This window comes from Homo sapiens, chromosome 5 (assembly GCF_000001405.40).
Source record: "Homo sapiens chromosome 5, GRCh38.p14 Primary Assembly".
Lineage (NCBI taxonomy): Eukaryota > Metazoa > Chordata > Mammalia > Primates > Hominidae > Homo > Homo sapiens.
The window spans coordinates 146,082,464-146,106,941 of NC_000005.10; the positions used below are offsets into that span (position 1 = coordinate 146,082,464).

The following is a 24,478-nucleotide window of genomic DNA, read 5'->3' on the forward strand; positions in this document are numbered from 1 at the left end:
ATCTAGAATTTAATTTAAAGGAAAACTTTATGTTCCAATAGTAAATTAGTAAAATTTGGCCAGGTACAGTGGCTCACACCTGTAATCCCAGCACTTTTGGAGGCCAAGGCAGGTGGATCGCTTGAGCCCAGGAGTTCGAGACCAGCCTAGGCAACATGGCAAAACCCTGTCTCTACTAAAAACACAAAACTTAGCCAGGTGTGGGGGCACACGCCTATAATCCCAGCTACTCTGAGGCACAAGAATTACTTGAACCCAGGAAATGGAGGTTGCAGTAAGCCAAGGTCATGCCACTGCACTACAGCCTGGGCAACAGAGCAAGATTCAGTCTCAAAAAAAAGGAAAATTAGTATCATTTTCCACAAATATAAAGTAGCCATAAAACAGTAATCACACTTATTGAGTCCATCCTACCTGCCAGGCAGTGTGCTAAATGTCTTGATGTACAATTCTCATGCCCTGCAAAGTCAGTACTATCACCATCTCACTTTCCGGATAAGGAAACTGAAACAGAGAGAGGTTAGCAAGTTTGCCTATGGTTGTGTAATTAGTAAACAGAGGAGGCATTTCAGGCTGCAGAACCCAGGTTCTTTGGCACTGTTCGGTGCTGCTGCCCTAACAAAAACATCTACCAAACATGGTAGATGGTCACTTCTTAGGGCTGCTAAAATAAATGATCACAAACTGGGTAGCTTATTCTGTCACGGTCTGGAGGCTAGAAGTCCAGTATTAAGATGTTGGCAGGGCCATGCTCCCTCCAAAATCTCTGAGGGAGGATTTTCTCTTGCCTCTTCCAACCTCTGGTAGCCCCAGGCATTCCTGGGCTTGTGGCAGCATCACTCCCATCTCTGCCTTTGTCTTCACATACCCGTCTTCCCTCTGTGTCTCTATCTTTGTGTCTTTTCTCCTCTTCTTGTAAGGACACCAGTCATACTGGATTAGGACCCACCCTGAAGATCTCATTTTAAACTAGTTACAACGGCAAAGACCCTATTTCCAGATAAAATCGTGTTCACAGTTACCAGGGGTTAAGACTTCAACATATCTTTTGATGGAGGAGTGGGAGGTGGGGAACACAATTCCACCTATAGCTGTTGCTGCCTGAGGTTTTGAACCTGGGGCCTGAAGAAGATTTCTAAGTGTTACAGAAGTGTTCAAGATGAGCACCAACCTGAGACTTTCTCCTTCAAGCAATCAGACCTGAAGAGTTGGGACAAGGGAAAGACAATGGCTGATGTGTTTCAGTGACATTTCCAGCCAGTCCAGATGCTACCTAAAGTTAGCCACCTCCTGCCCCATCCCTGATACTCTGAGGAAGGTGGCTTGACATAAGAAAGCCACATAACAACTCCTCCAGCTTCTCAGACATCCCTCATGAAAGGATGGCAGTAGAAATCTGGAGGGGGAAAAGCAAGCTTCCAAAACTCCAGCAGGGGAGGGGAGGCACAAAACTCACCTCTAGGCTGGGCGCGATGGCTCACGTCTGTAATCCCAGCACTTTGAGAGGCTGAGGCGTGTGGATCACCTGAGGTCAGGAGTTCAAGTCCAGCCTGGCCAACATGGTGAAATGCCGTCTCTACTAAAAATGCAAAAATTAGCCAGGTGTGTTGGTACATGCCTGTAATCCCAGCTACTCAGGAGGCTGAGACAGGAGAATTGCTTGAAGGCAAGATGGCGCCACTGCACTCCAGCCTGGGTGACAGAGCCAAGACTCTGTCTCAAAAAATAAACAAACAAGAAAACTCACCTCTAGATCTGCTTTATATGGCTGGACTGGAATAGCAAATTCAGACAAATGATAAAGTCATCAACAGGGAAATGTGTAAAGAAAGAAGAACAGTAGAGACAGTAGGGGGGAAATCATTTATTTTCATACCATTTCAGTAAAAACTTAGGAAAAAGCAATTGTTCCACTGAGAGGTTTGAGAGGAGGGTGTTGGGGAGTAAGGAGGAGGAGTTATCTTGCTGTCAAACCAGGGTGTCCTTAGTCATTGGGACTGCACAGATTTCATAGACTTGGGAGGTCCTCATCTTGAGTTCCCGGGCCACCTGGCAGATGGAAAAAGCCCAACAGCAGTGCACCGCCAGCCAGTCTTCACACAGTGTGCCCTAGGGCAAGACCAGAATCTGTTCTGTTGTAGTCACACAGGCTCATTTTTCTTCCCCAGGGTCCTGTACAATGTTACCTCCTGGCCCTTCAACCACAGCTTCCAAGGTTCACCAACATCCTTAAGCCAATGCCCAGGGACACTAAGTTGCATAAGTGCCAAGCAGCTGAATTGCTAATCAATGCCTGCGATTCAGAGCGCTGCCCTTAGGACCTCTGATATGGGCCTTTATAATTGAACCACTGATTTCTCTATCAACTTCTTGGTTCTTTCTCTTAGAACCTAATATTTATAATTATTTATTTCTTTGGAGTAGGTAATAAGTGAACATGGCCTAAAATTTCAGTGTAAGAAGGGATAGGAAGCAAAAAGTAAATCCCGCTCTCCAGCTGTCCCCAGCCATCCAGTTGCCTGCCTGGAAGTAATCATTGTTACCAGTTTCTTGTAACCACTTCCAGATACATTCTATGTCTACATAAACATATACATATATAGTCTTTTAAAATAGTTCCATACTTCTGTGCCTTACTTTTTTTTTTTTCCACTTAAAAATACATCAGTCTGGGCCAGGCATGGTGGCTCACACCTGTAATCGCAGCACTTTGGGAGCCCAAGGTGGGCGGATCACTTGAGGGCAGGACTTTGAGAACAGCCTGGCCAACATGGCAAAACCCCATCTCTACTAAAATAATATGGTATTTTAGTTAACTTATATTTCCTGGTAAAGAATAAAATTTTTAAATGTATTTCCTTTCTCAAAGTTTCCCACTAAGCATGGTATGTTTCAACATCCTCACCCACCCTTCTTTTATTTGGAAAATCACAGGTTTGGAAGGCATCTAGGTTTTCATACAGATTCGGGTTCACGTATACCTTCAAACACACTTACCTGTATTTTATGTCTCTCCCTGGTGCCAATTCTCAGTGCAAAGGTGGACCCAGGTAACAACGGCCAACAAAGACACTCTCCATAATGCCTGGCGATGTCACACTCAAGACACATAGGACAGAATAGACCACAGAAACCTGTCAATAACCACATCCAAAAAGCCAAGGTTCTCAGATTTCTTGGAGCAACTTCACATCTCAAAGAATATTTACAACATTATGCCACCAGTTTAATGCTGCACTGTCTCCCTGCTATCAGACTGAGAATAAATAACCAATTCCCAAAACTCATTGTATGAAAATTGCCATAACTGAGCCACATCAAAATTGCCTTCTTTTGTTAAACACTGGCAAAGATGAACCTGATACAATTCTGTTAGCATTGACTATGGTAATTGTTTTGTTCCTGTTAAGAGAAAAAGCATCAAATAATTTTTTTACATTTGAATCATAACTGTTGCTTTCATTATGTTCATCTATCTAATTTCAATATTTAAAATAAACATGGTATACAGGATATTTTTGAATAACAGACATCTATTTCTATAAGTGTAATTGAAAGGTCTTTTTTTTTTTTTTTTTTTTTTTGAGACGGAGTCTCGCTCTGTCGCCCAGGCTGGAGTGCAGTGGCGGGATCTCGGCTCACTGCAAGCTCCGCCTCCCGGGTTCATGCCATTCTCCTGCGTCAGCCTCCCAAGTAGCTGGGACTACAGGCGCCCGCCACTACGCCCGGCTAATTTTTTGTATTTTTAGTAGAGACGGGGTTTCACCGTTTTAGCCGGGATGGTCTCGATCTCCTGACCTCGTGATCCGCCCGCCTCGGCCTCCCAAAGTGCTGGGATTACAGGCGTGAGCCACCGCGCCCGGCCGAAAGGTCTTTTATAGTACACTAATTCTGCCTCCTATTCTTATCAGGGCTTTATTCTATTTCTCAGACCAAGTTATTCAAATTTATGTTAGTGTCTTGGAGCCACTGACATCTGCCAGTTTTAATCTGCAGATTATTAGGGGCTTGGTTCCTTGAACATCAACTGTAAACAATTTGTCATTAGTTCACTCATCTTTACTGATATTGTTTTCTACATATTCTGCATGAACCTTCCAACACAGAGGTTCTATTCTAAATATGTTTTGGGTCACAGACCATTTTGAGAGTACAATGATAGCTATGAACTCAGTCCACAAGGGAAAAGAAAACTACATGCACATAGACATGCAAAATTGTGCATTCAATTTCACGGAGTTCATGTATCCACTGAAAATTATTAACAGACCACAGGTTAAGAACCCCTGATATACAGTTAAGATGTTATGTCATCTAGCATCATAAAAGATGACAACTCTGATGAATGCAAATAATTAGGACTGTGAAACAGCAAAAATTCCAAGCTAACCATAATCTCTGAAAATTTTTTAAATAAATATTTTATGGAGGCATAATTTATATATAAGAAAATGCACAGGCCATCAGTGTTCTGTGGGATGAGTGTCAACAATCACATACACCCAAGTAACCAAATGTGTGGAACATTGCTCTCACCCCAGAGCTCCTGTGTCCTTTTCCAATCAATCCCAGCCCTCCCGTTGCCCACTAGAGGCAACCATTGTTCCAATATCTATTCTTCTAGATGAGTTTTGCCTCTTCTTCAACTTCATATTAATGAAATCATGTTTGCTTTTGTATCTGGCTTCTTTCGTTCAACATCATGTTTTTGATGCATCTATGCTGTTGTGTGAATCTGTCTCTTTTTTTAGAGTTGAGCCATATTCCATTGTATGAATATTCCACAAATTGTTTCTCCATTCTCCCATTGATAAACATTTGATTATTTCATTTTTTTGCTATTATGAATTTGACTGCTATGAAGATTCATCTGTAAGTGTTTACACAGGCGTATGTTTTTATTTCATTTGGATGGATACCTGGAAGGGGAATTGCTAGGTTATGGGGTAGATATACGTTTAACTTTGCAAGAAATGACAGACAGTTCTCCAAAGTATTTGTACCATTTTAAACTCCCATCAGCAATGCATGACAGTTATATTTTGTTTATTTATTTATGTATTGATTGATTTTGAGACAGGGTGTCGCTCTGTCACTCAGGCTGGGGTGCGGTGGCACGATCATGGCTCACTGCAGCCTCAACCTCCCAGGCTCAAGCGATCCTCTCATCCTTTCATCTCAGCCTCCTGAGTAGTTGAGACTACAGGCATGCACCACCACATCCAGTGTATTAGTCTGTTCTCACATTGCTATAAAGAAATACCTGAGAATGGGTACTTTATAAAGAAAGGAGGTTTCATTGCCTTACAGTTTGGCAAGCTGTACAGTAAGCATAGCAGCTTCTGCTTCTGGGGAGGCCTCAGAAAACTTACAAACATGGTGGAAGGCTAAGGAGAAGCAGGCTTGTCTTACATGGCCAGGGAAAGAGGAAGAGAGCAAAGGCGGAGGTGCTACACACTTTTAAACAACCAGATCTCATAAGAACTTACTCACTATACAGTACCAAGGGGGGATGGATCCAATTGTGATTGGATCACAGGGGCAGCTTCTAATGGTTTGGCACCATCCCCCCTTGGTACCATATAGTAATCCCAGGCCCCATCTCCAACATGGGTGATTACAATCCTATGAGATTTGTGGGGACACAGATCCAAACCATATCACCTGGCTAACTTTTTTTCTTATCTTTTGTAGAGATGGGGTCTCCGTATGTTGCTTGAACTCCTGGGCTCAAGCAATCCGCCCATTTTGGCTTCCCAAAGTACTGGGATTACAAGCATGAAACACCACTTCTGGCCAAGAGTTCTGATTGCTCCACATCCTCACCAACATTTGCTATTGTCAGTCATTTTTATTTTAGTTACTCTTGTGAGTGTGAAGTAGCCACCATTGTCTTTTAGTGCACCAGACACGAAGGCTCACATACCATGACATCAGCACACTGAAGAACTTCCTGACAATGGTCTGTCTCTGGCTACCCCTTGTTCTCCCACAGTGAGCACTTCAAAGTCCCACTCCCAAATTCAGTGACAAAGAGGCAAAAAACTAGGAATTCTGTATCTTAGACTCTCCAAGGCTCCAGGACTCTGGACTTCAGCTTCAAATAGTGGATGAAGTAGCACAAGCATACAAAGGGCATGAGGGATGGGGGCAGAGAAGGAACATCTATTTCATCTATTTGGAAGTCTCAAGATAGTCACTCAATCATCTACTGTAGACATCTCTTGGCCCAAAGCAAACTCTGAATTCAGTCTCAAATAAGACTGGGATATTTCACCCTACATTTAAAAAGTAATCTCAAGTAGATCAGCAGGCCCCACCCAGCCCGGATACCTGGTATGAACAGCTTAGAGGACAGCAAATGGTCCAGTAAATTTACTGAGAGTACAGAGTACTCACACTGTATGCAACCTTGAATTAGGGGATTTTGAAATCAATGGCACATAAAAATCAATCAACTCTCACTTTATGAGTGGATTACAAAATAGTGTAAATCCCTGTAAATAAAAAAAATTAATCAAAACTTGCTTAATTGTAAAGCTGGCAAACTAAGTGACTAATAAATAGTGTTTACACAATTGCCTCAGCTGCACCTCTTTAACTGATAAAGAGAAATGCCCACCATTCTCAATAAGTATATTGTACAGAAATTGTTTAAGTGCATTTGAACTCTTGCACCATATTTTTATGACTCATATGCTTTTTAAAAAAAACACACGCTTTTGTTTTTATTTTTAATCTTTTTGTCATATAATCATGTTATCTAAGTGTTCATTAGGAGGTAGTACTAGATGCTGAAAGAAACATACCTCAAATTCAATTACTGTACTTTGAAGAAGAAATCAGATGTGATTTTTAAAAAACACTATGAAGAATGAATTTTTATTATATAATAGCTCATATTTATACAGAGTTCACTATGTACCAAGCCCTGTTAAAATCACTCTGCACTTATTAACTCATTTAATCTTTGCAACAATCCTATAGGTATTCTTCTTATCCCCATTTTACAGATGAGGATACTGAGGCCCAGAAGATTTGAGTAATTTGTCCAAATTCACACAATCATCAGTGAAAGGCAGAGGAGAGATTGAACTCAGGTAGTCTGGTCCCAAAGTCTGAACTACTATACATATTACTATATGTTCTCATGTTTTATGTATTTATCTATTATGCCACAGTAGTTGTGGATTGGTGTGCTAGACAGTAGACAGTATCCTATCACCACTTTACATTTATTCCTGTGGGGTAGTCTTAAGTCAGGCAACTTCTTCTTCTTTTTTTTTTTTTTTTGAGATGAAGTCTTCCTCTGTCGCCCAGGCTGGAGTTCAATGGCACAATCTCAGCTCACTGCAACCTCCACCTCCTGGGTTCAAGAGATTCTCCTGCCTCAGCCTCTCGAGTAGCTGGGAATACATGTGCCTGCCACCATGCCCGGCTAATTTTTGTATTTTTAGTATAGACAGGGTTTCACCACGTTGGCCAGGCTGGTCTCAAACTCCTGACCTCAGGTGATCCGCCCGCTTCAGCCTCCAGAAGTGCTGGGATTACAGGCTGAGCCACAGCGCCCAGCCTCAACTTCTTTAAGGAAGATCCTTTCATCAAGTATTGCTGCTCTGTACTGTGAGGAATGCAGTGGGATATGGAAACACTGTCAGGTCACACCCCAAGAAGGGATGCACAAAATCAGGATGATGGGATCCTTTGTTCCAAAGACTCTCTAGGAAAAAACTTTGCAACACATATCACAGGCCAAGGATAAGTATCTAGAATATATAAAGAACTCTTGGCCGGGCACAGTGGCTCATGCCTGTAATCCCAACACTTTGAGAGGCCGAGGCGGGTGGATCATTTGAGGTCAGGAGTTTGAGACCAGCCTGGCCAACATGATGAAACCCCATCTCCACAAAAAATACAAAAATTAGCCAGGTGGTAGTGGCGTGTGCCTGTAATCCCAGCTACTCAGGAGGTTGAGGTGGAAGAATCCCTTGAGCTTGAGAGGTGGAGGTTGCCATGAGCCGAGATCGGGCCACTGCACTCCAGGCTGGGCAAAGGAATGAGACCGTCTCAAAAAACAAAACAAAACAAAACAAAACAAAACAAAACAAAACTCCTGCAAATCAACATATAGAAGATTAAACAAAAGAAGAAAATGGGCATAGGATATGGGCAGGTAATCCACTTAAGAGCAAATACAAATGGCCAGTAACGAAGGCAAAAATTTGCTCAATGTCATTGGAAATGAATATTAAGACATCCAGAAACTACTTATTATCCATGATAATGCCAATTTTTAAAAATTTGTCAGGCCGGGCGCAGTAGCTCACACCTGTAATCCCAGCACTTTGGGAGGCTGAAGAGGGCAGATCACCTGAGGTCAGGAGCTCAAGACCAGCCTGCCCAACATGGTGAAATCCCGTCTCTGCTAAAAATACAAAAAATTAGCCGGGCGTGGTGGCAGGTGTCTGTAATCCCAGCTACTCGGGAGGCTGAGGCAGGAGAATTGCTTGAACCCAGGAGGCCCAGGTTGCAGTGAGTAGAGATCGCACCACTGCACTCCAGCCCGAGCGACAAGAGCAAAACTCTGTCTCGAAAAAAAAAAATTGTTAATATGATATATTGTGGGGAGCCATGAAGAAATAAGTACTCCACACACAGATGGAAGTAGAAATTAGCACAGCCACTTTGGAAGTCAATTTTGCTGAATCTATGACAATGTTACATCATCTAGGACCTAGTGATTCCACTTATCAGTGTCCACCCTGTATCAATGCTTATACATGCTCACAAAGAGCAGGTACAAGAATAGTCATTGCAGCATTACTTGTAACTTTAAATTTGAAACAACATGAATGTATATTAACAGGCTGAAGTACAAATAAACTATAATGGTATAACTATACATACTGTGGAACACAAAAGATCAATTAAGAACCAACAGAGTTAAATCTCTAAGGCAAATTTTGAGTTTAAAAAAATCAAACTGCATAATGATATGCACAGCATAATACATAATACCATTTATATTATAAATATAGAGAAATATAGAGAAAAAGATCAGGAAGGAAATTCTCTAAAATTTCAACACTTTGGGAGGCCAAGGCAGGAGGATCACTTGAGGCCAGGAGTTTGAGACCAGCCTGGGAAACATAGCGAGACTCCATCTCTACAAAAAAAAAAATTAAAAAATTAGCCAGGCATGGTGGCATGCACCAGTAGTCCTAGCCACTCTAGAGGCTGAGGCAAGAGGATCACTTGAACCTAGAAGTCCGCGGTTACAATGAGCTGTAATCATGCCACTGTACTTCAGCCTGGGCAACAAGTAAGACCCTGCCTCTATAAATAAATAAATACAATTAAAAGAAGGGAAATGATTCCCTTTTCTGTAATGTTTCATTTTTTGCAAGGTAAATGTATTGTTACTAGTGAAAAAAAATTTTGTCTTTTTTTTTTAAGAAGCTCAGGTTCAAAAGGGATAAATTTAGCTTCTTCCTCTTACACCTAAAGGCCTGGTGGTTATGTAAGCACGCACAGTATAAATGATTCAGGTCTGTTCTCTGAGATGGGTTCCACCCGCATGTGTGGAATGTTGCTCATTATTCATCCTTCTAACTCATAGGAGAGTCAAGAGAAAGAAAAGAAACCTACACAAAACCAGAGTGTGGAGCCCCGAGATTAGAAGTAGGAAAGGTGGGTGGCAATTGCAGCAAGGCATATTTCAGATCAATTATTGCAAAAGAGGCAGAACTTTCTAACAATGAGATGCTCAGAAAAGAAATAGGTCATATTCATACATTGCTGGTGGGAGTGTAAATTAGTACAACTTCCAAATGGAAAGCCATTTGGCAACATCTATCAATATTTAAAATAGCACATACTATTTGACCAGCAGGTTTACTCTTTAGTGGTTATCCAACAGATATACTCACACACATGCAAAATGACATCTGTGCAGTGATATTCATATAGCAGTGGTTTGAATGGCAAAGTCTGGAAACCATATAAAGGTCCATCAATGGAGATTTTCAGATAAATAAGCTATGGTACATTCATACAATGGAATCTTTGCAGATTTTTTTTTTTTTTTTTTTTTTTTGAGACAGAGTCTCACTCTGTCACCCAGGCTGAAGTGCAGTAGCATGATCTCAGCTGACTGCAACTTCCACCTCCCGGGTTCAAGCGATTTTCCTGCTTCAGCATCCCAGGCAGCTGGGATTGCAGGAGCCCGCCACCACGCCTAATTTTTGTATTTTTAGTAGAGACGGGGTTTCACCATGTTGGCCAGGCTGGTCTCAAACTCCTGACCTTGTGATCTGCCCGCCTTGGCCTCCCAAAGTGCTGGGATTACAGGCGAGAGCCACCGCACCCGGCCGAATTTGCCAAATTTTAAGAAATTAGCTCCAGATATGTTGATATGGTCTGATCACCTAGGTATGTTTTTTTTTCCTTTTATACTTCTTTCAGAAGAATGTGATGTGAGATATATTATTAAATTAAAATAAGCCAAAGGTACTAGACAGTATGTGTTTACAGTGCTACCACTTGTATAAATTATACACACACACACACATATAAGCAAAACATCTAGAAGGATAGATACCAAAATATTAACAATATTTATCTCCAAGAGCTGGGATTACAGGATGCTGTTTTTTCTTTTATAGTTTTTTGCATTTTTCTTTTTTATAATTATTATATAATACTTTTATAATTAAACATCTATTTTAACTTTTTAGATTTCTATATCTGTATAAGTATATAGACTATATGTGGACTCAAGTAAAGGTATTTGACTCTGAAGAGAAAAACCAGGTGGATAGAGAGCAAGGATGGAGTACTACTTGCTTTTCATATACAAAAAAGGTAGGTACTTTTGAATTCTGCATTATGTGCATGGCAGTCTTTACAAAATAATTTTTTAAGGTGCTGAACTGGGTCCAAAGGAAATGAGCCCTCCTCCCTGGAAGTGCTCAGAAAGTCGAGGCTGTCGGGTCTTTGCCACGCACGTTGCAGAGGGGATTTACGCAAACAGATGGGGGACCAGACAAGCTGACTCGCAATATCCCTTCTAACTCTGAGGCTCTGAGTTTTTCAATTAAATTTGACAAAGAAGCAAATGAGAATACAAGTTAAAATTCATTTATGTGTTATCCAGCAAATATGTTTAAGTGCCTCCTATGGTCTAAATGCTCTGCTGGGCGTCAGAGCATTGAACAAGAAAACTGGTCCCTGCTTCAGGGAGTCTACAGGTTACCTGAGATGCAGTGTGGGGACATGAATCCCAGTCCAATGCCTTCTCATGCCTCCTTCCTTTTCCAGAAAACCAGGGAAAATTCTGGCTTGCTTTCTTCTTCCTACCTTGGGTATCTACTAGTTCCTAGTACACATCAGTCTCTTTACTGCCTGGTGCTTACAATGCTCGCTACAGGGAAGCTGTTTGAGCGGCTGACTCTTTCCTATCTTTCAGGTAACAGCTGAAGTCAGCTCCTCAGAGAGACTGTCCTTTACCCCATTCTCCTATAATTTCCTTTCATAACACTCTGTTTAATTTCTTCATGGCATTTATCACAACTGCAATTATTTTGTTTATAGATTTTTGTTGTTGTTGTTGTTTTGTTTCTTTTGTTTTGTTTTGTTTTGAGACAGTTTCACTCTGTCGCCCAGGCTGGAGTGCAGTTGTGCAATCTCGACTCACTGCAACCTCTGCCTCCTGGGTTCAAGAGATTCTCCTGCCTCAGCCTCCGGTGTAGCTGGGATTACAGGCATGTACCACCATGCCCAGCTAATTTTGTATTTTCAGTAGAGATGGGGTTTCACCATGTTGGCTATGGTTGGTCTCAAACTCCTGACAGGTAATCTGCCCACCTCGGCCTCCCAAAGTGCTGGGATTACAGGTGTGAAGCCACCGCACCCAGCCTATAGATTTGTTTATTATCCATCTCCTCTAAGACACTGTCTCTGACCTATTCACTAATATGTCTGTATCACCTACCTTGTGCCTATACATGGGAAGAAACTCAGTAAACATGGTTGAATCATGAGCTGAATTATGAGTTGATTACACCTTCCACATAAACCTTCTCTGAGGCCACATCACAAACATTCCCAAAGCTGGATTGCCCAGTCTTTCACTCACAATGCCACTTAGCAGCCACTTACTTCACCTCAGTTTAATCTTCACATCTGAGCTCTCAGCTACCCTATCTTCAAAGGACACAGAGACACCCATTTGCTAATCCCAGTGCAGTGTGAATTCAGATGAAAGCACAGAGGTGGGAAGAAGGAAGCACTTAAAATACATAATTACAATAAAATGAAGAAGCAAAATGTCAAAAAGAAATGGAAATCACTGCTGTTCATAATGTACCCTTTGCTTAATGGATGACAAATTGTAGCAATAATTCTCAGCGTTTGATGGAAAAATGTCCCAGGATGGGAATCTGGCATGGAACAGTCATGAGAAGAAGCTCTCCCTTTGTTCCCAAGTCTGTCAAAACAATGGACACAGTGATTTACTCTAAATAAAACTTTGTGGATAAAACAATCCCCAATTAAAAGTCTTTCTAAACAAGGAGGGGAAGAAATCCAAGACTCATAGCACTCACACTCCAGCAGCATTCTCAGAATTACAGTGCAGATAATGAGTGTACACAGTAATATATTACCTTTAAGTTTTCTTCTAAGACAATTAATTTAAAACACTATGAGCAGTCACAACATGGAAACACAACTAGGGAACAAAAATTACAACACAACATTCGAGATCACCTTGAACCCTATCCATGGCCTTTCATTCAGAATTCATGCCAATTGTAAAGAATATTGTATTTCTCCCCATATCCTTTTTCCTCCCCTTGTCACTAGAATGGGCTCTCAAGTGGACAACCAGGGAATCCTCAGGAAGTGTGGTTGGTGTCCTGAGCGTTGATGCGGGTTGAGAGCAGAGGTGAGCAGTGAAGTAATGCTTAAGGCAAACAGTATGGCTGAGGAGTGAGAATTCCTTGACCAGCTTTTCTAGGTGCTCTTAGGATTATGTAGAAATCATTCTGCAGAATCTAATATAAGCCTTCTGACTCATCTACTCTTTGCTCTCAACATGCTGAAGGATAATTTTTTTTAAATAACAGTAGTATTAATAGCTAAGATTTACTAAGTGCATTGTAATGATATTTTTTTGAATTTTCCTGGTAACTGCACCCCAATAGTAAATTTAGGAAATTATCCCTTCCTTATTATGCACCATATTGGTAGGACTATCATTCAGAGAACCGTGGGCCTGGTCAAGAAGTAGGCACATGATACAAGCTGAGCAAATTGAGCTGCTTCCACTGAAACATCAATTCTCAGATGGGGATAACACAAGGATAAAAACATTTAAAGCTGATTGGACTGTCAGCTAGCACCTAATAACAGTGCGTCTTGTCCCTTTCTGGGCTTGGCTTTTACCTGGCTCATTGATTCCGGGAGCTATCCCATGGCCTTCTAATGAAATTCAATGTTGGCTTATATATTCGTTTCCTAGGGCTGCCATAGCAAAATACCACAAACTGGGTGGCTTAAAACAACAGGAATTATTTTCTCATGGGAGAATTCTGGAGGTTAGAGGTGTGAAACCAAAGTGTTGGCAGAGTTGGTTCCTTTTGGGGGGTCCGAGGGAAAAATCTGTTCCCTGTCTCTTTCCTGGCTTCTGGGGGTTGCTGGCAATCGTTGGTGCTCCTTGGCTTGCAGATGTGTCACTCCAGTCTCTGCTTCTGTCTTCACATGGCCTTCTCCTTTGTGTGTCTGTGTCCAAATCTCTCTCTTCTTATAAATAAGGATTGACTTTATTTTAATTTGACTACATTGTAAAGACTCTATTTCCAAATGAAGTCACATTCAGAGGTTCCAGGTGAACATGGATTTTAAAGTGACACTACTCAACCTAGTATAGTTTGCAACCCTAAATCCCTAACTGATCCAGTTATGCCCAAACCAGTGTTAAGAGTGGGTTCTATACATCTTCTGTTTTCATCTTTACAGTAAACCTTGAGGTAGGCACCTTTATTATCTTCATTTTAGAGGTGGAAAAATGAAGACCCAAAGGACTTGTTCAACGTTACATGGCCAGTAAGAGCCAGAGTTAGGATTCACGGTGTATATGTGATATGAACCTGTTCTCCTAACCACTACACCATATTCCAGGCTTTGCCCTAGTTAAAAGTGCACTGAAGTTCCCCCAACCCCCAACCATAAGCTATGAAAGGAAAATGGTCCACTTACTATTCTGGGGCCAGATCTGCACATTTGTGCATGGCTACTCTAGCTCTCTGTACCTTAGTACTGGGTGACTACCAAAGTCATGAAAAGAGCAGAGAATCAGGAAGAATTCTGAGAGAACCAGAGAACAGCTTCCATAATTGTCTGGTCAGAAATCCACATGGGTAGCCGCGACAGGAAGAGACTTGCCAAACTATGGGTCACGGGGAAGACTCTCAGCTGAATGAGGACTTGCTCAGAGTTCTCTGGTTGATATGTCCTGTGAGGCATTAGGACAAATTCAGATCTTCCTAGAAGGCTGATATATCCTTCAAAAATATTTTACCCAGGGTCTGTTGGATTTGGAACTTAAGAGACTAACCCTCATCCATCACACATACCCTCCCCCTCCTCCCAGAGAGACTCTGTGATCCAATTGCTCCCTAGGGCAAGACCATCAGGTCCTGGAAGGGGATCCTGACATGTGGTACCAAAGATGGGTCAGAATGTCCTCAGGTAAAAATAGAATCAATGAGCTTTGAACTCTAAGCCCAGGGGGGAATCATGTAGCCAGAAGACAGTGTTATTTGCCCCTCTTTATAGCTGAAAAGTGTCAAACCAGTGTCTGAAAAGATTTCAATCAAGGAAGGGAGTTTCTTTTTGTGATTGTTCTTGTTGATAGGAGTACTACATATTCTTCCAAGACAATTGAAAAAAGAAAAGCAAAAAGGAAATAAACACTATCCATTAACCTCCCATCTGGAGACATCTGCTATAAATATTTGTATTTGTATTCTTCCAGACATTTAAGAAATGTTTTCCTCTCTCCAAAAACACGGTATCTACTGTGCACAGTTTTGCAATGTGTTTCTTTAATGTAAAAATGTATCCAAATCATCTTTTCATCTCATTAAATATTATTCTACAATATGACTTTTCGTGGCTGTATAATAATTCATTGTGTGGATTCCTCTTGTTGAACATTTAAGTTGTTCCAGGTTTCTGCTGTAATAACTAATGCTGCAAAATTTAATGTTCCTGCTAAATCTTTGCACATGATTTATTTCCTTAAACTCCTAAAAATGTAATTACTGGGTCAAAAGCTATGCAACAGCTGAGGTTCTTTCTATATGGATTGCTAAACCATCCCCCAGAAGAGTTGTACCAATTTACACTCCCACCAGCAGTGGATAAGAAAGCTCATTTTGTGCACTTTGCCAACAGTGGAGTCTGTCATTTAGAAATCTTTGAAGGCACCACTTATTCTATAAAACATCCATATCTCTGAAAAGCAAGATTTTTCCAGACAAGGAGTACATTTGAGTCACTGAAAGATTAGTCCAGTTATTCTGAAAACATTTAATTTCTGTCCTTGTGCCTGCTGTAGGTTTTCCACTCACTGATGTCCTGGAAAAGAAAATAGTAAGGAGGAACTTAAATAAGGAGGAAAAACTTACAAATTCTCCTATCTCTGCAGACACTGAAGAGACCGGTGCTCCAGCCCCCGCCAGTCTGGACAATTGCTGTGATTGTCGTCCTGCCACTGGCTCCCCGAACAGGCTGCTTCACCACAGCGCTGGCTGGTACATGGCCTCTGGAGAGTCAAGGATGATGATTAACTTGGAAACAAAGGTGTTTCAGAACAATAACCATTAAGCCAAGTCAGAACCATAAAGAAGAGATAGGGACCCAATGATGCCAAGGGGCTCATAGCCCAAATCGACTTTGCCATCTCCCTCCCTCCTCCCCCTCCATCATACCTTCTCTTCTGGCTTTTTGCCTCATCTCTATTAATGGAATTATTGTTCTAAATCCTGACACACAAATTCAAGCTCAATGTCCAGTCTACTTCCTCAGTGTTTCAAATAGTTAAATTCACAAATTTGGAATCGAGGCCTCAGTTCAAATCCAGGCATTCCTGGAGGCTTGACCTTGGTTAAATGACTTTACCTCTCTGCTTTCCGTTGGTTCTGATGAAAAAACTACCTCATGAGATTATTGTGTCTATTGAAGGACATCTGATTCGTTTACTGTGCCCAGGGGATGTGTGACAAAGTAACTCTGAGTGAGCTGCATCCCAAGGATTTTGAACCTTTGCTGAAGTGATACTGAGAAGGAACTGGACTGAGTGGGCAGACTGAAACCTGGACTAGGCTGTTGAAGTTGACATGGGTATCATTTAAGTGAATTGCCCAGACTTCAGAATATGTCTTGATATCAAATTACTGTATGATTGACCTAGTGGTGCCACAAAGTATACTTTGGGTTGATTTTCCCAGAAAGGGATGAATATTCCTATCATCAATCATTCTGAATTAGAAAATGAAAACCTGGTGGCTGGGCTTCAAAAGCGAGGTAAGGAAAAACTTCTCTTTCTGAGGATGAAAATCAGTTGTGCCTGAATTTCAACCATGGGGATGTCTGGAGTGATTTCCATAGTGAAGGGTAAGTTGCACTTGGCCTCATAGAAGGGGTGGGTCAAGAGTGGGGTAGAAGGGCCCTAGAATGAATCTGAGCCTGTGCAGTGTGGTAATTATTCTGTTTTGTGCTTCTCTTTCAGCAAGCCTCATTAAGATTTTGCACCTGTTTTCTGATGTGCTATGAAGAATTAAAGAAAGAGCCTGCCTCATAGTTGAGACAAAATAAGAGACAGCAGCATTTCTTCCTATAACAGTTGCTGCAGTAGGGTGCGGCGGCTCATGCCTGTAATCCCAGCACTTTGGGAGCCTGAGGTGGGTGGATCATGAGGTCAGGAGTTCAAGACCGCCTGACCAACATGGTGAAACCCCATCTCTACTAAAAATACAAAAATTAGCTGGGCGTGGTGGTGTGCACTTGTAGTCACAGCTATTCAGGAGGCTGAGGCGGGAGAATCGCTTGAACTCAGGAGGCAGAGGTTGCAGCGAGCTGAGATCACGCCACTGCACCCCAGCCTGGGTGACAGAGCAAGACTCCGTCTCAAAAAAAAAAAAAAAAAAAAAAAAGTTGTTGCAGTAATAGTTGCCAAAATTCAGCACCTGGGACACATGGCCTGGAGGCCAAAGCAGAACATTCCTAACTACCCTTAAGACAACATCCTGGGGGCATCTTGGAAACAGCTGTGGAGCCCATTACCTCTGATTTCTGGCAATAAAGCCAATGGAATTTCATGGTATTATAGTATAAGTTGCATTGTGGATCTTATTAAGATCCACATCTCTTTTTCATCCCACCAATACGGATCATGTCTACACCTTCCCAAAGATGATAGCACATTAGCTTGTTAAAAAAAGAAATTCCCAAGCCTTCCCTCGGACCAACTGCACAGGTTTCCAAGAATGAGGTACAGAAATTAATATTAAAACAAGCCTTTCAGGTAATTTTTAAGCACTCATGCCATTCTGAAACCTGATACCAGTAGATTTGGACACTAATGATGGTGACTGCAGTAGTCTCCCACTAGCTAGGTGGCGATGTCAACGCAAGAGAGACGGCAAAAAGTAGAAAAATAGGAGAATAAGAGGTAGGGATGTTTGGAACATATTTAGTCTCAATGTCAGTGAGAATCAAGACAATACTTAACAAACGGCTGGAAATGATGTACCAGAGCTTGGAAGAGGGGTTAGGGTTGGAAGCGACCTGTCTGGAAGTATGAAGTGGAACTATGAAATACCCCCAGCCCTTTTATCCATTAGGCATTGTAGACAGTTCTCATGGTTTAATGAGCTTTCTAGGAACCTACCATGGAAAAAAAAAATTGGCTCCAAAATATAAAAACTGCAAATAAATTAATGCTCAATTAAACACAAAAATCTAGCATGTCAATTTTATTAATTGCCAAATTTAGAATTCACAAATATTTAACATTTTGAAAATTTGTAAGTTCTCATTTTGCAAAAATTCCCAAATATGAATGGTTGCTAAGAAGCAGCAACTAGACATAAATGAGTTATTCATAGTCAAATAATCTCAAAAACAAAATTATAAAAATTATTTTAAGTATTGTACAGAAAAATATATATATATGGATATAACAAATGTATGGGTATATTTTAATATGTTTGTTATGATGTAAGTTAGGGCCCATTTCTGTAGACTGCATCGCATCCCCCAAAACGCATATATGTTGAAGTTCTAGCCCCCAGTGTGAATGTATTTGGAGACAGGGCACTTAGGAAGTAATGAAAGTTAAGTGAAGTTGTAGGGGTGAGATCCTGATTCAGTAAGTTTGGTGGCCTTAGGCCAGGCACAGTGGCTCATGCCTATAATCCCAGCACTTTGGGAGGCTAAGGCAGGTGGATTGCTTGAGCTCAGGAGCTCGAGACCAGCCTGAGCAACATGGTGAAATCCTATCTCAACTAAAAATACAAAAAGCCAGGCATGGTGGCACGCACCTGTGGTCTCAGCTACTTGGGAAGCTAACGTAGAAGGATTGCTTGAGCCTGGGAGGAAGAGGCTGCAATGAGCCGAGATTGCACCACTGCATTCCAGCCTAGGCAACAGAGCAAGACCCTGTCTCAAAAAAAAAAAAAAAAAAAAAAAATAGGTGGCCTTATAAGAGAAATTGCTGTCTCTCTACATGCACGTACAGAGAAAGGCCACGTGAGCACACTGCAAACCAGGAAGAAAGTCCTCGCCAGAGCCCAATTGGGCTGGCACTCTAATCTCAGACTTCCATTCTCCAGAACTGTGAGAAAATTATTTCTCTTGTTTAAGCCACACAGCCTATGGTATTTTGCTACGGCAACCGAAACAGATTAAGACATCTTTGCTGATTTGAAATTGGCCCTGAAAAAACTACTTTTATGTCTTATTTCCTCTGCCTCCATGTGTGCTCCCTGAGGTTGGGGGCATATGCTGTTCCTCCCTGTATACCCACTATCCCGCACACTACCCTGAAACCTCATGGGTGCATGATAAGTATTTCTTGGGCTGGACCAAATAGATTCTCTTGTCTCTTCTGTTATATTTGAGTCCTCCTCAAGGCTAGCTACAAATTTATGTGAACTTTACTGTGTTTCATTCTCTAGTAAAGCCACAAGTCTTGGGCATGAATTGATGAAATACAAGCAGAGGGTAGCCTAAAAGCTTTCTGCATTCCTCCATACAAAGGCATTTACCTCTCAATGTGATGGCCACAAGCTGGGGCTTCCATCATTAGGCTAAGAGCTTCAATCGTCTTTTAGTAGAGGGATTTCTTAGGGCAGCCTAAGAATAGAATGTCTGCTTCTAACTCAGTATTATGTGCGTGACACCTTTTATTATAGCAAGGAATGCTGTATTCTATCCATTCCAAATCAAATAACTAACAGGATAGCTTTTCCTTAATGGAAAAAGAAAATGTTTTTTTTCTGTGTTTACCCTTTTTTTTTTTTTTTTGTCTTTTGTCTTTTTTTGAAACAGGGTCTTGCTCTGTCACCCAGGCTGGAGTTGAGCGGCATGATCACAGCTCTCTGCAACCTCGAACTCCTGGGCTCAAGAGATCCTCCTGCCTCAGCCTCTCAAGTAGCTGGGACCACAGGCACATGCCACCATGCCCAGCTAATTTTTTTTAATTTTTTGTAGAGATAGGGGTCTCGCTTTATTGCCTAGGCTGTTTGTCTAATTTTGAACTCAAGGATAGATTTGTTATTTATTTCCTTAATACCCTGAGTCTTCAGTTATTTTTATATTAAAATGTTTGAATTGACATACATTGGCTGAGACATTTCAGTTCAAAATGATTGCTCATGTGTTGTAATTGAAATAACAACCATAGCTAACTTTCACTGAGTACCTTCCATGTACCAGGATCTCAGTAGTTCATTAACAACTGAAAGATTATTCAGGGGCTGCTACAGGTATCAGACTCAAGTAGCTCCTGTAGCTTCCTAGACAGCTTTTCTACATATTACGCCCAGGGAATCTTCTGCTACCATGAAGAACAGGAATGAGTATGCAAACAGTGGATGAAGCTTATGGCCACAAAGCTCTGCTAAACCAGAGAAGATGCTCATTTACCTATCAAATTCCATAAGTTCTTCATTTAGTAGAAAAAGCAAACATTTTCATTTCAGACACAAAAAAGTTCAAATAGTCACATTCTAGTTGTGACATCTTAGAAAATACAACTTGTCACAACCCTCAGCTCTGGCCTCCTCCTCCATAAAATTGGATTTAAAATATCCTAGCTCCTCAGTTGCCAGAGTATTAAACAAGATCATGTATGTACCTGACACGTAGTATGCATGAAGTCGATGGCCACTGTTATTATTCTAACTTCAGGATCCTGTGTATGCTCTAGGGCATTCTGTATACTTTTCTCAGAAACAAAGGAAGGAGAAAGGAGAACTGGACCAGGTTTTCAGTTGTCATATGTGCTACCCAAATGCCTTAAAATTCAGTCAGAGTGATGGCCAGGCACGGTGATGCACACCTATAATCCCAGCCACAAGGGAGACTGAGGTGACAGGATTGCTTAAATCCATGAGCAAGACTCCCATCTCTTCTTTCTTTTTTTGAGACAGAGTTTTGCTTTTGTCGCCCAGGCTGGAGTGCAGTAGTGTGATCTTGGTTCACTGCAATCTCTGCCTCCAGGGTTCAACCAATTCTCCTGCCTCAGCCCCCCTAATAGCTGGGATTACAGGCATGCACCACCACGCCCAGCTAATTCTGTATTTTTAGTAAAGACAGGGTTTCACCATGTTGGCTAGGCTGGTCTCGAATTCCTGACTTCAGGTGATCTGCCCACCTCAGCCTCCCAAAGTGCTAAGATTACAGGTATGAGCCACTGCGCCTGGCCTCAGACCCCATCTCTTAAAAAAAAAAGATTCAGTCAGGGTAACCAACCATTCCAGTTGGCCCAGGACCAAGGGTTTTCCCAGGATAGGGAAGTTTTAGTGCTAAAACCAGTACAGTTCCAGGCAAACCAAGATGGTTGGTGATCCTAACCCTCAGAAGGTGAGGGAGGCTTTAACTCAGGAGGCAGGAGGCTAACTCCTGTTAAAGTTTGATGGATGAGATACATACTTTTCCCTCTTTTTGACCTCACTCCATTCCTCTTCCTCTTCTAGCACAAGCCCTACCATGTCTCCCACATGCCTGGTTCTTCAGCCTGGGGTGTTACATGTCACTCTTCCGTAATCACACTTGGAGTATTGTGAAATCATTCTGCCTTGTACCTAGGCCTCCTTGATTATTTCAAACTCAGCTGAAGCCAAAACCCTTGAGTTTTCATTTCAAAAGGGTGGAAATGATTGGCAGTCTCTAAAAATAAAGTTCCACTTGGTCAGGGTTCAACATTTTAAGAATAAAGAGATACCATTTCACCCAAGCCAGCCCTTTTCTTGTCACCAGCCAAGAAAGGCCAGAAGGAACAAATCAGTTGCCCTCTTTTCAAGTTTGCATGGAGAAAAGATAGCAACCACTTTCTTCCCAAGCCCAGTTTTCTTTTCCCTGGTTCCTTATAAGTAGAGGTTGATTCGATAGTCCAACTAAAGAGCAAAAGCTAGGGGAAAAACTCACCCTATTCCCTACCTCAAGTTGGAAATAAAATGTTCATCTTCAGATGACATGTGTGACAACAGAGGTGAGTATATGTTGAGTAAGGAAAGATCCTCAGGACACCTGAAGAAGTTACTTCCAAACCAATTCATAGTGAGAAGTGTTTTCTTGTCCTTTGGGCTATCCTTTTTCCCTTTGGCAATAAGCTGGTTTCTAAACTTCGGATTAGTCCAAAGTGAAACATCTCTTGAAAGAATGTTCCCTTAATATTCTGGAACCTGAGGTCATAGCAGTGTAACTAACAGACATCTTTTTTCTTTAAAAACAGGTATACACCTAACTGTGGACACATTCATCTTACTAATCTGTAGGGAGATATTGCTGGAGTATAGAGTAAATAGAAGAAAAAGACTTATCTTTGGTGGAAAACTCTTTAAGAGATGCCTCTAGTAAACATTTATCTAGCTAAGTGCCACTTGACCGTTCCTTGGAAGATTCAGAAGGCTGAAAATTTCTGCCATGCCATGTGACTGAGAAGCAGCAGAGACCTCTCTTCATCCCCTGAACTGCTGGTCCAATTCAGCCAGATGATGCAAGTCCCATAGCCAACCCAAAAGCAGGAGCAAAAAAAAGTCTTTCAGCGCAGGTATTGTATTTGAATCCATCTTATGAAAGGTGGTCTCCTCAAGTTTGAGCTATGGTAGATTGTCACAAGCCTCAAAGCCTTTTCAGAACTTCTAGAAATTCTCTGCTCTTCCATTAACTTCATTGATAATGCCAGGAAAGTGGCATTTCTTTCCTACCCAGTCCAGACGGAATCTAGTAACTGAAGCAAGGCTTGCCTGGTGATGTCCTCACAACAGCTCTGAATCCTCAAGGTCTCAGGAGCCTCTGAATCATGCCTCTGGCACATGTCTTATGGAGGTGTGGACCCTAGAAATATTAGGAAATATCCTAAGACAAAAAATTAGGCAAAATTTCACGTTGAGGAAAGGGCTCTGCAATCATAATTTGACATTACATTAGAAAGACATCAGGAGGATACTGCCAATTATATCATATATTCTTTTCATCAGACCCATAGAGAATGGTTGCTTAGGGTTCTGAACTTCAAAGCATTTATTGAACCAGGTTGTTAGGAAAAGCCTATAATACCTTCCAAATCAAGATTCCTCAGACATAGCTTCATAACTGCCTTCAATCATGGGGTTCTGGGCAACTGTCATTGTCTTCTTAACAGTAAGGATGTACCCTACATTAAGGACAGGTATGTTTTTTCTGCTTACTACTCTATTCCAAGTGCTGACCACAGTGTCTGGCACATAAAAAGCACTCAATAATTTGTTGAATAAATGTGCCCTACATGAAAATTCAGGTTTATAAGAATAACAGAAATTAAGAGGTGATTACTAGCTTTGCAAAAAAAAAAAAAAAAAAAAAAAAAGATTTACAGTAAGATTCCTTTGAAGAGTAAACCACCATGGTACATATAAGCTATGACTCCATATTTTTACATTTCATTTGCGCCCAACTTTTCTAATCAAACGTCTATTGTATGAAGTGACTAATCCACATGCTACACAGCTTTTTCATTTAAAAATAAAATGAAAAGAATAGAAAAGGCATGTGCTTTATAAAAGAATGCCAAATATTTATGAAAAAGAAATAATAGCATTAGAATATCACCATTTTGCATAGCCCCAGCATAACAACATATCAGGAAGGAAATTCAGAAGCATTAAAACCATTAGATAAAAAAGATTAGGAACCAAATATTCTCAAGGTGCAAAAATATAACTATTCCACATATTTCTAATTGCAAAAGAGAAAATGTACCTTAACTATGAAAAATTCCAGAAGTACTCAAAATGCATATTTACATTGGAAAGTTCTGAAAGTGTAAGAAAAAAAAAGTACCCTTACAATAAAAGCTCTGGGTGTGATTTTAACAAATATGCCTTTACATCAGAAGGTCCTAGAAGTGATCAAAATGTATCTTTAACATTACCCTTCACCCTTCCTCCATGATTGTAGGTTCCTGAGGCCTCCCCAGCCATGCCTCCTGTATAGCCTGTGGAACTGAGTCAATTAAAACTCTTTTTTAAATAAATTACCCAGTCTCAGGTAGTTTTTTATAGCAGTATAAAAACACACTAGGCCAGATGCAGTGGCTCACACCTGTAATCCCAGCACTTTGGGAGGCTGAGACGGGCAGATCATCTGAGGTCAGGAGTTTCAGACCAGCCTGGCCAACGTGGTGAAACCCCATCTCTACTTAAAAATACAAAAATTAGCCAGGCGTGGTGGCAGGCACTGTAATCCCAGCTACTCAGGAGGCTGAGGCAAGAGGATCGCTTGAACCTGGAAGGCAGAGGTTGCAGTGAGCCAAGATCATTCGACTGCACTCCAGTCTAGATGACAGAGCAAGATTCTGTCTCAAAAAAAAAAAAAAGAAAAAGAAAAGAAAACACACTAATACAAGCTCTATGCACAGCAGAGGGCCATTACAAATCTTATTGATGCTGTAAATTTTGGGGTGAAGTATTTTCTACCTGACTGGGGTCCATATAAACTTCTCCTTTCTCTGACCTCCTAATGGCCCTGGTAACACTGGCCTTGGTCAAATACATTCCTGTTTTCCATGCACGAATTCTTTGTTGTCTAAGTGCAATGAAGATGGAGGCCAGGGCTCTAATTCAACTCTGCTGCTAATACATAGGATCTTGAGCCAGTGACTTTGACCTGTTTCTTCATGTGGCTTCCTTGCTATTCCTTCAGCACA

General features: G+C 41.3%; 1 protein-coding gene across 3 annotated transcripts, besides 4 other annotated features; it reads right to left on the reverse strand.

Annotated features, from left to right (window-relative positions):
• Positions 1–1,849: 1,849 nt before the first annotated feature.
• PLAC8L1 (PLAC8 like 1) lies at positions 1,850–23,114 on the reverse strand. Of its 3 annotated transcripts, XM_011537571.3 has the most exons (5): positions 21,223–21,309; positions 19,335–19,422; positions 15,693–15,829; positions 2,998–3,134; positions 1,850–2,109 (listed from the first exon to the last, which is right to left on the reverse strand). In XM_011537571.3, exons 2-5 carry the CDS (start codon positions 19,370–19,372, stop codon positions 1,969–1,971), a joined length of 453 nt encoding a protein of 150 aa, XP_011535873.1. In that variant the 5' UTR covers positions 19,373–19,422; positions 21,223–21,309; the 3' UTR covers positions 1,850–1,968. The 3 variants fall into 3 exon arrangements, with proteins under 3 accessions (XP_011535873.1, NP_001025040.1, XP_005268438.1); NM_001029869.3 differs by lacking the exons at positions 19,335–19,422; positions 21,223–21,309 and adding an exon at positions 21,730–23,114; XM_005268381.4 differs by lacking the exon at positions 19,335–19,422.
• Positions 10,288–10,457: an enhancer, noted in NCBI's record as "experimental_81119 CRE fragment used in MPRA reporter constructs". NCBI's record gives its function as "activates a minimal promoter by MPRAs in K562 erythroleukemia cells, with activity observed for the non-introgressed 5:145472399 variant allele {active_cell/tissue: K562}" and the evidence as "EXISTENCE:reporter gene assay evidence [ECO:0000049][PMID:34662402]".
• Positions 19,066–19,624: an enhancer, noted in NCBI's record as "OCT4-NANOG hESC enhancer chr5:145481092-145481650 (GRCh37/hg19 assembly coordinates)". NCBI's record gives its function as "activates a minimal SCP1, AML or CMV promoter by ChIP-STARR-seq in primed H9 embryonic stem cells {active_cell/tissue: H9 hESC(primed)}" and the evidence as "EXISTENCE:reporter gene assay evidence [ECO:0000049][PMID:30033119]".
• Positions 19,776–19,945: an enhancer, noted in NCBI's record as "experimental_81180 CRE fragment used in MPRA reporter constructs". NCBI's record gives its function as "activates a minimal promoter by MPRAs in K562 erythroleukemia cells, with activity observed for the non-introgressed 5:145481887 variant allele {active_cell/tissue: K562}" and the evidence as "EXISTENCE:reporter gene assay evidence [ECO:0000049][PMID:34662402]".
• Positions 21,209–21,409: a silencer, noted in NCBI's record as "peak5518 fragment used in MPRA reporter construct". NCBI's record gives its function as "represses an SCP1 promoter by STARR-seq MPRAs in K562 erythroleukemia cells {active_cell/tissue: K562}" and the evidence as "EXISTENCE:reporter gene assay evidence [ECO:0000049][PMID:32103011]".
• Positions 23,115–24,478: the final 1,364 nt, after the last annotated feature.